Here is a 15,269-nt window from a genome sequence, read left to right on the forward strand (position 1 = left end):
CCAGCTACTCTGGGGGCTGAGGCACGAGAATCGCTTGAATCTGGGAAGCAGAGGTTGCAGTGCACCAAGATTGCACCACTGTACTCCAGCCTGGATGATAGAGTGCATGAGACTCCGTCTCAAAATAAAATAAAATAATAACGTATAATTGTCATGTGTCACAAAAAGTTCATTTAATTTTTTTAACCATTTAAAAATATAAACATCATTCTTAGCTTGAGAGATGTAAACAAACAAAAACAAATGAATGAAGAAACAAACAAACAAAATCCAGAGGGGTCAGTCTATTTAGCTCACAGCCTGTAGTTTCCAGACCTCTGATCTAGACTTACCCACTCAGGATTACCAACGCAGACATTGGCTAAGTCTCAGGACTGGAGGTGAAATAGGGTGAATTAGGCAGGTAAAACCACCATAAAAAGAGGCAGAAGAGCACAAGCTTAGGCATTTAATCCATAATAAGAATATGGACCCTCTATTAGTATTTTGCACTAAAGAAAAAAAGGCAAATTTGGATTTCTGCTAATATCCTGAGCTTGAAAATCCCTTCCATCTAATTTCCTTGCATCCAGTATGTTTGAATTTAGAATGCCAGTTTTATTTCCCTGCTCTTGGTTCTGTTGGTGAAAAAAGGGGAGAGGAGATGCCAATATTTTTATGAGCTGTCAATTTCCATATCTGACCTGCTAGCATCAAAAAGGTGATAGCAACAATTACAGAATATTACCAATTCTAAATTGAAAGAATGCTGACTCAAAATCAGACGGTCTATCTTCCAATCTCGTATTTGTTATTAACCACCTGAGTGGCAAAAATTACTGAAACTTTCTGGAGATCAGTTTACTTATTTGTAAAAGAAGGATCTTGAAGATTTTTCTATCCATGTGAATGAATTATAGTTCCCCTTATTACAAACATCACTTTACTGAGAAGGCCTAAGGCAAAAATAAACTTTGCCAGAAATGTAGGCAAATTATGGAAGAATATGTCAAAGTACGGAAAAGACACATTTAAACAGTAAATTCAAGTTTGTATCTTTGTACTTATTTACTAAGTTTTATGGTAACCGAGAATTCAGGATAAATTTGACTGCAGTACTTTTTCTTATGTTTATTTTTTCTGGAAGCATCCAAAAGTTAAGCTGGCTACAGGACCTCTGGTTTACAATTCATTTCCTTGAAAGAAAAGAAGAAATAAACACAATTCTATAAAGTCTGTGAATTAAAACTTTGAACCTGCAGATGGTGCTATGATTCCATTTTCAAATTGTTTTGCTTTCTAGTTTAAATTCATAAGAGAAAATGCAGTTGTTTGGTTGAGTTTACTTTTATTCAGAGGTAATAAAATTGAATTATTTCTTTTTATTTTATCTTATTATTATTATAATAGAAGCAATTGTCTTTTGTATTGGGAAAAGCTACTATAGTTACTCTTTGTAAATGCTAAGTGCTTGCCTAGGCCAAATAATGATCAGCTTTACATCTTTTATGTTTAAAATTTTTCTTCTTATCATTCAGCAGTCATTTGTCTGTGACCCTCAATTAAGTTGCTTTGCTGTTTCTGCTCTTAAATAAAATTGGTTCACTAAGAATTGGGTGATGAAGAGCTAAGGATAAAAAAATTCCATATGAGAACTGTTTCAACCTCTAGTTTGTAATAATCAGGTAAAAAAGATTTCCTGGAATTAAGCCACAGGAACTCTGGCTTAAGTCAGAGCTGTCAACTGGGAAACAAATTTCCAGACATTTTGAAACTTAATTCATTTAATTTTTCTGGTAACTGGATTAGAAAATATGATTAAGCATAGCAGGATATTCTTTTACTGGATCAGTCTGACTTTGAACGAAGGAAATAGATACTACAATCTTAAAGTAGAAGAAAGAGGACTGTAAAGCCATTCTGTCTTATGAAACTTAGAAACAAAATGTAAAAATAATACACATGGCAGAAAGCCTTTAAAATAAAAGGAAAAATGGCATTTTCCTCTGTTGTTTAGGAAATTTTTCATGTGGCTGCATTTTTACCTTAAACTCTGATTGAATGTGTGCTAGACTACCTTTAGTTACAAATCCACAAATAGAAGTGAAGTATTTATCAAAGTACTATATAAATGCTTTTCAACTATTTGAAGCCACCTGTCAAGTGATTGAATCAGAAATGTTCAAAACTGGTTTGAGTATGTGTGTGTGTTGGGGATGAGGGTAGAAAACTAATTCTACATTATGCAAAGACTTATAAAAGTGATGAGGAAAATCTTTAAAAAGAAAAGACAATTAAATTCCTTGAGGTATATAGCCTGACAACAATTTATTTTTTGGATCATTTGACACAGTGTATGTAAAAGTGCATTGGGAATTGTGCCATTTTATACAAATATGAAATAGCACTACTTGTACTGCTTTGTACAACAGCGTGCATATCTTACTATCTTAGAGACTTTCTGAAACACTTATCTTGGAATTAGTTTCAACAAAGACGAAATGTAATAATAGGAAGGTGAAAATTATCTCTAGAGCTTTTAAAGTTAGGATAGATTTCAAGAAAGATTAAATCTGGAACTATATGAATAGCATAAAAATTAAAAATATTAAGAGAATTGATACTTTGTAATAAAGTATAATTATACTTTTATAAGCGTAATGAACATAAGTGTTTGTTGCTTTATGCATTTGTTTCTACACATGAAGTCTTTATTTTCTGAAGGAATCCCAATGGCCCTGGCTATAACACTACAATCATTTTCTTATTTTACAATTAATTAAAGGTTAAAACATTTCACATTGAGCTTGCTACTTTGTTTGTTTAAAGAAAAGTAAATTTCCTCTTATCTTACATTTTGAAGTTGCTCACTATAAACTTATATAAATTAGGCATAATGACAATTAAGTAAGAACTTCAAGCCCTATTCATCCCATGGCCGTCATACTGTGACGTCTTTCAGAGCACTTTGTGATTGCTCAGTCCTAAGTATAAGCCCTATAAAATGATGGGCTTTGAAATGCTGGTCAGGGTAGAGTGAGAAGCACCAGCAGGCAGTAACAGCCAACCCTTAGCCATTGCTAAGGGCAGAGAACTGGTGGAGCCTTTCTCTTACTCCCAGGACTTCAGCACCTAAGACAGCTCCAAAACAAACCAGAACAGTCAGCTCCGGGGGAGCACGACTGGGCGAGGTAAGTGAAAACTTTACCTTTCCTCTTCTTTTTCCCTCCTGCCTCTGGAACTTTTCTCACAAAATAATGAATTTTTCTCTCTTGAAAAGAATTTGATAGTGCTTTGCTTTTGCAACAGCAAAAAACAAGTTTCTCAAGTCACCTGGTAAGGATAGAAATACTTCAATTTCTCTCATATGGATAGATTTTCTGAATTCTTTTGTTTGTAAGATGCTTTACCCTGCTTGCTCTTTTACTGAATACTGATTTTTACAAATAATTCATTCAAGTAAAGTTTACTTGTATGTAGATTTTTGACTGAAAATTTCAGTGGGAACATTTGCTTTTGAAATTTTCAACTTATTTTTAAAGTGCTTTTTTTTTCCTATTTCGTATGTTGGTTAAGTGAATCTAAGATGCATTTATTTTTTCCTTAAGTTTAAATTCCATAATTTTTATAGGCAGCAAGAGAAACAGACCTTACTCCTAGGCTTTTAATCTAGAAACTAGAAATGAAATGTGTAAGTTGATTAAATGCAAGAAATGCAAGCTTTGCTTTTAATATATATTTTCCTCTTATGGAAAAATTTATTTCAATGACAACATATGATTCAGTAATATTTTGAGTATTAATATTCACTACTGAGTTAAGAAGTTCAAATCCAGGTGTAAGGAAATAAGTTTCCGTAATATCTACAATTGAAAGAGGAAAAAGTAATGTATATACAAAATCTTTTTTAAAATTATATGTATATATACACATTATATTTATACATTTGCACACACACGAGCAGAATAATTATTAAATAGATGATACTCTAGTCTTATATTAGTCAGATACTGAAATTTTAAAGCAGAAGAAAATCAATGTCTTGAAGCTGTTTCCTTCGTCAAAAAATACACTAAGCTTGAGTGGTACATCCCTGTTATGAAAAGATTGTCCCCAGGGTTATTTCCAGCACTATAGAAGTATGGCATTCAATAGATACTGGGGCCAACCATGTGCCCAGACAGCAGGTGAAAAGGATTCTAATTTTTATTCAAGCACCTGTCACTGAGAGAAATACTGATTTTTGAATGTATCATCTTGCAATTTAACTCTTTCTACAAGATGAAAATTACTCTTTACAAACTCTGCAAGAGCCATTGAAAATTACTGCTAGACAATCAGAATTACCTTGCTGGTGACATCTTTGGCTGGAAGAACTGAGGTGATTCTCTCTCTTTAGAGGCACAGAAATGGACACCAGAAATAAGGCCCAGCTCCTTGTGCTCCTGACTCTTCTCAGTGTGCTCTTCTCACAGACTTCGGCATGGCCTCTTTACAGGGCACCTTCTGCTCTCAGGTAAGTTCCCTTTCAATTCAAACATCTGAACATTCCTTCCTCATCTAAATGGGAATTTCCTATACATTTTGTTGGACAACTAAATAGTATAAATTATGTATTATGTATTTAAATTTTTCCTTGATGTGTTGAGTGAGAGGTGTTTGTCAACATCAGGTCATTCTGAGTCCTGGAATTCACTTTCAGGGCATGAGAGACACTGTCAGTTATTAGTTTTATGGGCTGAGTGGATCACATTCCCAAACATGGTGAAAGGAGGCTTTCACTTTCTTTTTATTCAAAACCATCTTTAGATAAATAATAAGCTTTTATCCATTGTTATCTCAAGTCAGTTCAATTTCTGGTGGAAAAAAGCTGTTTAGTTGCCAACCACATTTGAGTTTATTTTCAAGATTAATCAGTAAATAATCATAAGACTAGTAGTTGATTAGTGAAACATGTATAAAATCATGTTGCACAGAAATCTATCTAGGCAGAGTCAATTTGCCAATATTAAATATGGGGTAATTGATCTATTGAGATACACTCCCCCAATAGGAAAATTTTGATATACTTTGTTTGGACCATAAATCCTTAGTTTTATTGTTCTATATGTTATATTATATATTCCAAATCCATAAAGTATAACACAACTCTTATTTAAAACTTTATTAATGTATGCTAAAGAAGTAAACAATAAATGAAAACTATATTAGCTTGAATTTTCCTTTCAGTTTACGGGCACCACTGTATCTCCAAAGGAAAAATAATAATTGGGTTGGTTTCCTTCTTTGCTTATTAGGTCATTCTTGATTTTTTGCTTAAGGTAGACTTATGCTCAACAGAGAGAATAACCTCTTAGCTATTAGTGTTCTCTGTGAAATCTGTTTAAATACAGCTCCTGCGTTGCTTTGATAACTAAACAAAATGGTTCTATCTGAATAGTTCTACCACAGCAGATGAACAATCACAAGAATGTGGACATTTGTGTTGATTGCTAAGCTTCAGACCCACAGAGGACTAGTTGCTAGTGACTCCCAACTCCCAAATCACTGAAAGATACACAAGTGTCCAGGAGCTGACACGCTCCTTGGATGTTTGCCCTAACAGTGAAAATCTGCACACACAAAATTATAAGAGTTGCCGGTGATTGAAATATGCATGCATCCATAAATATAGTCATATTCCATATATGCATTTGACTATTCTTAGTCTTTCAGTGTAACATTGTACATCCCTTATTAAAGTTGTGTTAATACATAAGATTAGAAAAAAGAAGGCCCCATAAAACTTATTGAATTCAAATTCATCTTCATAGATGAGCTATCCATCTATGGAGACATTCTTTGAACTCTGTCAATACAGAGAAATATATAATGCCAAAGTAAATATTTGAAGCAAAGCTTGGGGGTCGAGAGAGAGAGAAGCAGTTAATACTCTGTTCTTCAGAGATGTTTGGAACAGGTAATACTGAACATCACCAAATCCATAAATTGTTATCAGTTCTCATTCAATATTAGTTTTTTGCAAGTTTCTATTTTGCATAAAATATTTCTACATACGAAATTTGACTTTGCAAAGTGAAGATATTCTTGGCATAGTAAATTACACCAAAGAAGTATAGTTTGCTTAATGCTCTGATAAGATTGAATTAAGTAGCTCTTGTGTTTTGTATATTCAGCTTATAAAAGTCATATGGCATCTACTTTATAGGATAATAGGAATTTCCTATTTATACTCTCATTAACTATATGAGCCATTAAGTCAAATTATGCTATTCTCATATTATGACTGGGTAATACTTCCCAAGAGTCTAAGTATCTTATTTTAAATGGTTGCGGAACCATACACACTGTCTTCTGAAAAAAGAATGTATTATTCTCGTGTAACTTTCCCCATCAGGTTGGGTGACAGAATACCCTTTGAGGGAGCAAATGAACCTGATCAAGTTTCATTAAAAGAAGACATTGACATGTTGCAAAATGCATTAGCTGAAAATGACACACCCTATTATGATGTATCCAGGTGAGTTTATTTTTATAAAACTATCCAATGAGTTTTATTTTAGAAAATGTGTTTAAGAACTATAAACGTGCTTATTTTATCTCACCATGAAGCTATTCCGATAGCAAAACACTAGAGGTTTCTATGTGTCATGGCTTCATTCATCCTGATTTACTGCAGATCTTACAGCTGTACATAATTTTCATACTGAAAGGTTGTAACAAGCCAGGATGAACACACCATTCACTTCCATTCTGTTGCACATAATTCCAACATCACAGATTGTACCAATTCTGATAAAAGTACAGCATTTAGCATTCCAATGATGGAAGAGTTGCCAAGGAGTTTTGTCTCTATATAAAGAAAAGATACCTGATAGAGCTGTTCATTCATAGAGCTGTTTGTCTAGAGCATCATTTCAAGTACAGACCAAGTAGCTCTATAGTACTTGGTACAGACAAAGTATAAAAGGTGCTTCATTTGAAAGAGAAAAGGTGGGATGATAGGCCTTAATGCCTTCTCTATCTTAAGAGATTTTGTTTCCAAATATTTTGGAAAAAGAAAAAAAAAGGTGTACTGGGGTTTATGAACTTTCCAAAATCAGAATATTTTCCCATTGTGAATGTCTTTATTCAGTGGGGCAGACACAAAGCACCATGTACAAATAGCAGCTAATTTAAATAGATCATATTTTTACACCAATATTTCTTAGAAAGAAATAGTTATAAAGATTCAACCATGGAGGAATATTGAAATGTGCTCCTAGAAATGCCTGTTTCTTTAATTTTTCAGTGTCTTGGGCTAGAAATATAGGGTATATCTTGATATAAGTGACTAGAAGATCTCTTTTGTTAGGGTGTTAAGAAATCTCCTTTTGAACTTTAGTTTTAATGAGAAGCTTTCATAATAAGCCCATAATTTTTTTGTTATTTAATAAGCCATAATAATATTCTAGAAAGCCATTTACAAAATAATAGCTATTTTTTTCTTCCTTGTTTTAGAAATGCCAGGCATGCTGATGGAGTTTTCACCAGTGACTTCAGTAAACTCTTGGGTCAACTTTCTGCCAAAAAGTACCTTGAGTCTCTTATGGGAAAACGTGTTAGGTAAAGAGAATTTATTATTTTTATAAAATATGTTATCATTATTCAATCTGAATATTGTATTTTCACTCTTAACAAGTTATTTACTTTGTTTGAAATTGAAAACTCGTTGATAATGTTTAATTTAGTTAAATGAAATAACTTGTATTCTTCAATAACATCTATCAAGCCCATGGACTAAGACTTTTTCATAATATCATATTCATTGACTCCAGACACACATTTTTCTCAAGTAGCAATCATTTAGCAATCTGCAATCAAATTGAACAAGACTCAGTAAAACAATCAAAAAGAGATAGTACAGACTGAGGTAAATTTTAAGGTCAAACAGAATATTCTTTTTACTTCCTGCTCAAATTAAATGGAGAATTCCAAATGGCCAACAGTCAAATATTTAGATGACGTTGCTCAGGGTAGCATAGCTTCTAAAGAAGTAATTATGTTTTTTTTAAAAAAAAAAAAAATTTCTCCCAATGGCAGAGCACAACTTCAGCTATTCCCAAATTTTTATTTTTGGATGAATTATTTGCTCAGCTGTACAGAATGTGTCATAAAACAGTCCCAGGCCATGCCAAAATATGGCAGATGATTCCTTGCTTTCCTTCATCCTTAGGTTTAGTTGTATTTTTCTTTTAGTCTTTTTATGATAGAAAATTAGTTGGGTGGGAATTGCTTTTTATGTGGCTCCAAGAAACCTGGAACATGTGTGTATTTATCATTTCTTGTGAAAACTCTTTGATTTCCTTTTCCTCATGTTCCTTAGCAGTAACATCTCAGAAGACCCTGTACCAGTCAAACGTCACTCAGATGCAGTCTTCACTGACAACTATACCCGCCTTAGAAAACAAATGGCTGTAAAGAAATATTTGAACTCAATTCTGAATGGAAAGAGGAGGTAAAGAAAAAGAGAACTTGCTAAAATGAGGAATCATGACTGACTTTCAAAATAGAAGCTGCACATGGAGACCTCTCTATCTCACTTATCTAGCTATACTACGTGAAGCAGTGATTTTCAACCTTGGCTGACATTAGACTACCCCGCAGAACTTTAAAAATACAGATGTCTGGGCCTTCTCCCAAACCAATTGCCAGGAAATCGGTGTCTTCGGTGGTGTGGCCCTAGACATACATTTCTTTTAAGAGTTCCCCAGTTGACTTTACTATGCTGCCAGTGTTAAAAATGATGACTATACAGACATCTAGTCTGAATCTAAGAGCAAGTTTCATCAAAAGTGATGATTTTTAAAACATGTAAAGCATAGTCAATTGCAATTTGGTAACACATGGAACTCACTTCGTGTGCATATTCACTACTGTTATTTAATCAAATTAAACCATTAGGTATTTTGTATATTTAGATTCTGTAAAATCTATATCTCTCTATGGTGTGTAAATATTGGACACAATACATAAACAGTGTAGTGTTCTGTCTTTTTATTCCAATTGTTTTTGTTTAAGTGATGAGTATTAAGGATAATTCTGTTTGGGTGTGATCAGACAAGATGACCTCTTTGCCCACTAGATGATAATTCTGTGAGAATAATTTTAGAAACTCTAAGATTGATGAATAATTCATAGGTACTAACAAACCTCAAAGATAATTGTTTAGCCTCCCCATACACTTTCAGAGCACAGAGAACAGCACATTCATTATGTCATAATAGTTTCTTTAGACCCTTTCTCATCTGAGAGCCTTAATATGTACAATGTTTTTCTGGTCTGCAGCAGTGAGGGAGAATCTCCCGACTTTCCAGAAGAGTTAGAAAAATGATGAAAAAGACCTTTGGAGCAAAGCTGATGACAACTTCCCAGTGGTGGGTATATTCGTGCATTCCTTCTGTATTCTTATGGCTGTCTCTGATTATATAAGTAGCTAAGAGTCACTTAGTAAGAAACATCTTAGGGTTAAATAGTTTCTCATCATGAGACCTCATCCAAGACAGACACTTCTACAACAGTGGACCCCAACCCAGTAAACAGCTTAGAATGATTCATGAAATTTTTTTGATCTTGTAAAAGAGAGCACTCACAATAAGCAAACGTTTTGAGATCTGAATAGTGTTCCTGGCTTACTTGGGGTTATTTCTACCTTTGTATCAAGATAAAAAAACAGAGGAGGCTGACTCACACTGACAAGAAAAATGGGCTTTCCTTTTGAGGATCGACCCATGCTGCTTTTATTAATTGAAGGTTTAGTCTCACAATTGACTGTTAGCTCCTCAATTAAGTATAGGGAAATAGCACCAAATTAGAGCATGGCCCATTACTATGAAAATATCAAGGCATTCTGGGTCTAACTATATTCCTTGAAACATGGCAAACTTCATAGAGCAAAAGTTAAATTTAGCTTGTTTTACCTGTAAGTTTGTTTTACCTATATGACTCTAATAGCATTCTCTGCCAACATTTTTTTTGAGCAGAAAAAACATGGATAGACTTTTTTTCTTTGTGAAGTAATAAGCTTGCTATCAAAATTGATTTTATATAAATGTGGGTTCAAGACATATTTCTTTCCTGAGTTACATTACATTAATATTCACATTCGCTCATAAAAAATCTATAATACTGGGCAAGTGCTTAAAGAAATTTCATGCTGTCACCATATCAAAGGTTAGCAGATTTTAAAGGGCTATGGAGTAAAATATGTTTGGCTTTGTGAGCCATCTATTTTCTGTTAGAGTGACTTAACTCTGCTATGGTAGCACAAAAGCAGCCACAGTTAGATGTAAAACGAATAGGAGTGACTGTGTTCCAATAAAACTTTATTCATAAAACCTGAAGGTGAGCCAGATTCCAATCCCTAACTAGGTTAAGGAGATTAAATTCACCCATGCTCAAACTAAAGGCAATTCATGGCCTTACCTCAGTTCCTGATGGGGTTATCTAAGGTTTTCAACAGTCATCAAGAGTGGACATGGTGTCTGGGAAGATACCTGCTTAATTGACTGCTTTTGTCCACTAATTACCCTTAGACCTCTAAGAGAAAGCAGAGGCAGGAGTGTGGCCCACATCAACTCTTTATCTTTTATAGACATCTCAGAGAAACAAGTCCCTTTGCTCAAAGAAGAAAGTTAATTACATATAGCTTTTCTAAGAGTGTTTATAAGAAGGCTTCTCCATCAAATTAAGAAACACGGTAGGCACTAAAATATAAAGGAGAATTGATTAATCACACTGTGCTTTGTAAATGGTAAGATCACTTATGAGATTCCATCCTCCATTCTTTTCTTTTTTAAATGGGTGGCTTTGGACAAATTCTTTGAAGAGGAAATCATGTGGGTCATCCATTAGTGAAAATTACAAGTGAATCATTAATAATGGTTAGTTAGACGTCTTTTCACATTCCAGTTCCTCTCTGATAATCAGTCCTCTAGAAGCTGCTCTCTTGGTATGTCCCAGGACATGATCCCCTGCCACAGGCTGTTAACAAGGGACAAAGAGAAATAAGTGTTTATCAGATAAGTAAATCAGTGAATGAAACTAAGATGCTAGAAATAAAATATATTTTATGCCTAAAGCAACAATTTTTTCTTTTTCAGAATTCTTGAAGGAAAATGATACGCAACATAATTAAATTTTGAGTTCTACATAAGTAATTCAAGAAAACAACTTCAATATCCAAACCAAATAAAAATATTGTGTTGTGAATGTTGTGATGTATTCTAGCTAATGTAATAACTGTGAAGTTTACATTGTAAATAGTATTTGAGAGTTCTAAATTTTGTCTTTAACTCATAAAAAGCCTGCAATTTCATATGCTGTATATCCTTTCTAACAAAAAAATATATTTAATGATAAGTAAATGCTAGGTTAATTCCAATTATATGAGACGTTTTTGGAAGAGTAGTAATAGAGCAAAATTGATGTGTTTATTTATAGAGTGTACTTAACTATTCAGGAGAGTAGAACAGATAATCAGTGTGTCTAAATTTGAATGTTAAGCAGATGGAATGCTGTGTTAAATAAACCTCAAAATGTCTAAGATAGTAACAATGAAGATAAAAAGACATTCTTCCAAAAAGATTTTCAGAAAATATTATGTGTTTCCATATTTTATAGGCAACCTTTATTTTTAATGGTGTTTTAAAAAATCTCAAATTTGGATTGCTAATCACCAAAGGCTCTCTCCTGATAGTCTTTCAGTTAAGGAGAACGACCCCTGCTTCTGACACTGAAACTTCCCTTTCTGCTTGTGTTAAGTATGTGTAAAATGTGAAGTGAATGAAACACTCAGTTGTTCAATAATAAATATTTTTGCCATAATGACTCAGAATATTGCTTTGGTCATATGAGCTTCCTTCTGTGAAAGTACATTTGGAGACACAACTATTTTTCCAAAATAATTTTAAGAAATCAAAGAGAGAAAATAAAGACCTTGCTTATGATTGCAGATAATTTTTTTGTTTGATTATTTTATATGATTCAGCAGTAACTCATTTTAGCTCTAAAGTTCTAGGCACTAGATAGCTTTTGTGGTATTTGATTGTGTGCAAGTTCTAAAATAATGATGGCTTAAAATAAAAGAGAAATTTCTTTCTCACGTAAGTCAAGAAGTAAGATGTCAGGGTTATTATAATGGTTCTGCTCAGCAAAACCCTCAATAACTTACACCCCTTCCAGCTCATCCCTCATCTCCAATGGTGTGGCACTTTTCCTCATGATCCAAAATTAGAGCTAGCATTCCAGCCATCACATATGCATTCCAGGCAGCAGGCTATAGGAAGAAAAAAGGGAGCAAATATTATATGCCAGTTCTCTTTGAACTGATATCTTATACTAACATCCCCTTTACTAGTACATAGTCTTATGGCCACAGTCATTTGCAAGAGAGGCTGGGAAATGTAGTATGTTTTCTTTTCTTTTTCTGGGTGATCATGTACCCAACTTAAAACTAAGACTCTATTAATATAAAACAAGGAAAGAATAAATGTATGCAGCGATTAAAAATAATTCCAGGCTTGGATCTTAAATTCTCACCCAAAAAGCTTAAAGAAATAATAAAGAGAGCGAGAGTCAGACCCTAACCATTAATGAAGAAGCATTATCCCCATAAGGCAAAGTTTTGCTTGGTTTCATTTTCTACAATTAGGACAAATGGCCACATCAGGAGGAACTAGTCTAGAAGTACCAGTAATTGCAAAGTAGTTTTCACAAGTTGAAGTAAATTGAGCTTCTTGTATCTCTTTTTCTTATCTGATTCTTCAAATTATTAAATATTTATTAAGTGACATTTTTATGAGAAGCACTGCAGTGAAAACAGACAATTTCTAAGTGTTAAGTGTACATAAAAAGCTTGTAAAGATGAAATGGAGCCATAATTTGAGTGTGTAACTAAAGAGTTTTAATTTTATTTTATTAATATGAATCTTTTCAATTTATTCCCTATTGCTTCAAGAAATTCATTGAAGAAATATTCACTGAATGACTATGATGTGCTATGTAGCTATCTGAGAGATTGTTCTGGGCTGAGGGAACAGCAAGTGCAAATGAGGGAACAGTCCTGACATATCTGGAGAGCAAGGAAGCCCATGTGGCTGGAGCAGAGTATGCTGGACAGGGACTCAGTAGGAGAGGAGGTCAAAGAAGTTACTAAGGACTGGACCTTGTAGGGCCTCACAGGCCACTGTAATTGTTTGTGAAGTGAGATGAGGTATGGCAGAGTTTTGGACAGAGGTGTGATATTATCTGAACTGCACTTTAACAGGATCTTTCTGGATACTCTAATGAGAGAAGAGTGAAGGAGTGCTAAGGGTGGAAGCAGGGGTACAAACTAGGGGGCAAGTGCTATAAATCAAGTGGCAGATGATGGTGCCACCAAGGCAGAAGCACTGGAGGTATTGAGAAGTATATCTGAATAGATCTTGAAAGAAGAGTCAGGTTTTCTGAGAATGGGTTGAAGACAAGAAATAGGAGAGGCTGGGCATGGTGGGTCATGCCTGTAATCCTAGTACTTTGGGAGGCTGAGGCAGGAGGATTGCTTGAGGCCAGGAGTTCAAGAAGGAGGAAAGTCAAGAATGACATCCAAGGTAAATCACCTGAGGCAACTTGAAGGATGGGATTGCTATAGACAGAGAAGACTGGGAGGAACGAGGGTTCAGGGAAAGGTGAGCTTAGTTTGGATGCACTAAGGCAGATGTTGAGTAGGGAGTTGGAGATGTCATGAAGAGGAGATGCTGAGCTGCAGATGGGCAAGTGGGAGATTTCGCATATAGACGGGATTTAGAAACACAAGACTGGACGAGATCAGCAAGAGACCAAGTGTTGCTAAACAACAAAACACAACAAAAACAGAAACCTCAACACATAATCCTTGAGTGTTTTTATTTCCTAGTGCCACCATAAGAAGGCACCGCAGACCAGGTGTCTCAAACAAAGAAATCAATTGTCTCACAGTTCTGGAGACAAAAAACGCTAGAGCAAGGTGTCAACAGGGCAGGCTCCTTCTGAGAGCTGTGAGGAAGAATCTGATCCATGCCTCTCCTCTCGTTTCAGGTGGTTTGCAGGCAACCTTTGGCTGATAGAAGCATCACTTCTATCTCTGCCATGACCTTCAGGTAGCATGTCTCCAAATATTCACTTTACATAAGGACATCAGTCATTTTGGATTAGGGCCAATGCTAATAATCTCATTTTAAGTTGATTTCCTCTGTAGAAACCCTATCTGAAAATAAGGCTACATTCTGAAGGACTAGGGTTAAGGACTTTCACATATGAATTTTTGGGGACACAATTCAGCCAATAATCCTGGGGCATGCCAACATTAAGAGTTTGGAGTTTTGAGAAACAAATGGGATAAAAATGGACTGGAAGAAGAAGCTATTGAAATAGGAGAAAAATTGGAGACCATGTCATCTGGAAAACAAGTGAAGAAGATCTTTCAAGGAAGAGGGTATCATTAACAGAGCCAAATCCTGCTGCAGGGTAGATTACAATTCATTTATTTAATTCTTCTGCAAGAATTTATAAGGAACTTACTATCTACCCAGCACCATTTTAAGTTCTGATGATATAGTAGTGAATAATACAGATCAAAATTCCTGCCCTCATGGAGCTTGCATTCTTTGATTTGAAACAGATAATAAAATAGTCAAGTAAAATATAGTCAAGTAAAATATATATTGTTTTAGAAAGTGATAAATGCAAAGGAGACAAATTATGTACTTACAGTTCCATATGGCTGGGGAGGCCTCACAATCATGACAGAAGGCAAGGAGGAGCAAGTCATATCTTACGAGGATGGCAGCAGGCAAAAACAGAGCTTGTGCAGGGAAACTCTCCCTTATAAAACCACCAGATCTCATGAGACTTATTCACTATTACAAGAACAGCATGGGAAAGACCCACCCCATGATTCAATTACCTCCCACCGGGTCCCTCCCACAACACGCGGGCATTGTGGGAGCTACAATTCAAGATGAGATTTGGTGGGGACACAGCCAAACCATATCAGAAGGTGTCAATTTGGCTTTATGTCAGAGAAACATCAAAAGCACGTTTGCATGCTGAGGGGAGAGATGCAAGATAGGGAAAATTGGTGATGCAGAAGGTAAAGTGGGGTTTTACTTGAGTGATGTCCTTGAGAAGAGAGAGGAAGTGGGTGATTCAAAAATAGAGGGATTGACCTTTGCTTGGCACAAGCTCTCTTCAACCACACTAACAGGCAGAGTGGTTGGGTCCGAGGTGGATGA

The 15,269-nt window shown here is 35.0% G+C and overlaps 1 protein-coding gene and 1 long non-coding RNA gene across 10 annotated transcripts in view; one reads left to right on the top strand and one right to left on the bottom strand.

Annotated features, from left to right (window-relative positions):
- The first annotated feature begins 3,007 nt into the window (after window positions 1-3,007).
- VIP (vasoactive intestinal peptide) lies at window positions 3,008-11,971 on the top strand. 4 transcript variants are annotated; one of them, NM_003381.4, is made up of 7 exons: window positions 3,008-3,170; window positions 4,379-4,495; window positions 6,377-6,499; window positions 7,480-7,584; window positions 8,345-8,476; window positions 9,307-9,395; window positions 11,121-11,971. In NM_003381.4, the coding sequence occupies exons 2-6, from the start codon at window positions 4,389-4,391 to the stop codon at window positions 9,350-9,352; spliced, it is 513 nt and encodes a 170-aa protein (NP_003372.1). In that variant the 5' UTR covers window positions 3,008-3,170; window positions 4,379-4,388; the 3' UTR covers window positions 9,353-9,395; window positions 11,121-11,971. The 4 variants fall into 4 exon arrangements, with proteins under 4 accessions (NP_003372.1, XP_006715625.1, NP_919416.1 ...); XM_006715562.5 differs by having other exon boundaries at window positions 9,310-9,395; NM_194435.3 differs by having other exon boundaries at window positions 8,348-8,476.
- LINC02840 (long intergenic non-protein coding RNA 2840) overlaps window positions 7,087-15,269 on the bottom strand; it is a 121,122-nt gene continuing 112,939 nt past the window's right edge. For all 6 annotated transcript variants that reach the window (NR_183504.1, NR_183508.1, NR_183505.1 and 3 more), the window contains 2 exons: window positions 12,191-12,295; window positions 7,087-11,001 (listed from right to left, as the gene is read on the bottom strand). This is a non-coding gene — a long non-coding RNA (long intergenic non-protein coding RNA 2840). The remainder of the gene's footprint in view (window positions 11,002-12,190; window positions 12,296-15,269) is intronic.

This window comes from Homo sapiens, chromosome 6 (genome assembly GCF_000001405.40).
Source record: "Homo sapiens chromosome 6, GRCh38.p14 Primary Assembly".
Classification (NCBI taxonomy): Eukaryota; Metazoa; Chordata; class Mammalia; order Primates; family Hominidae; genus Homo; species Homo sapiens.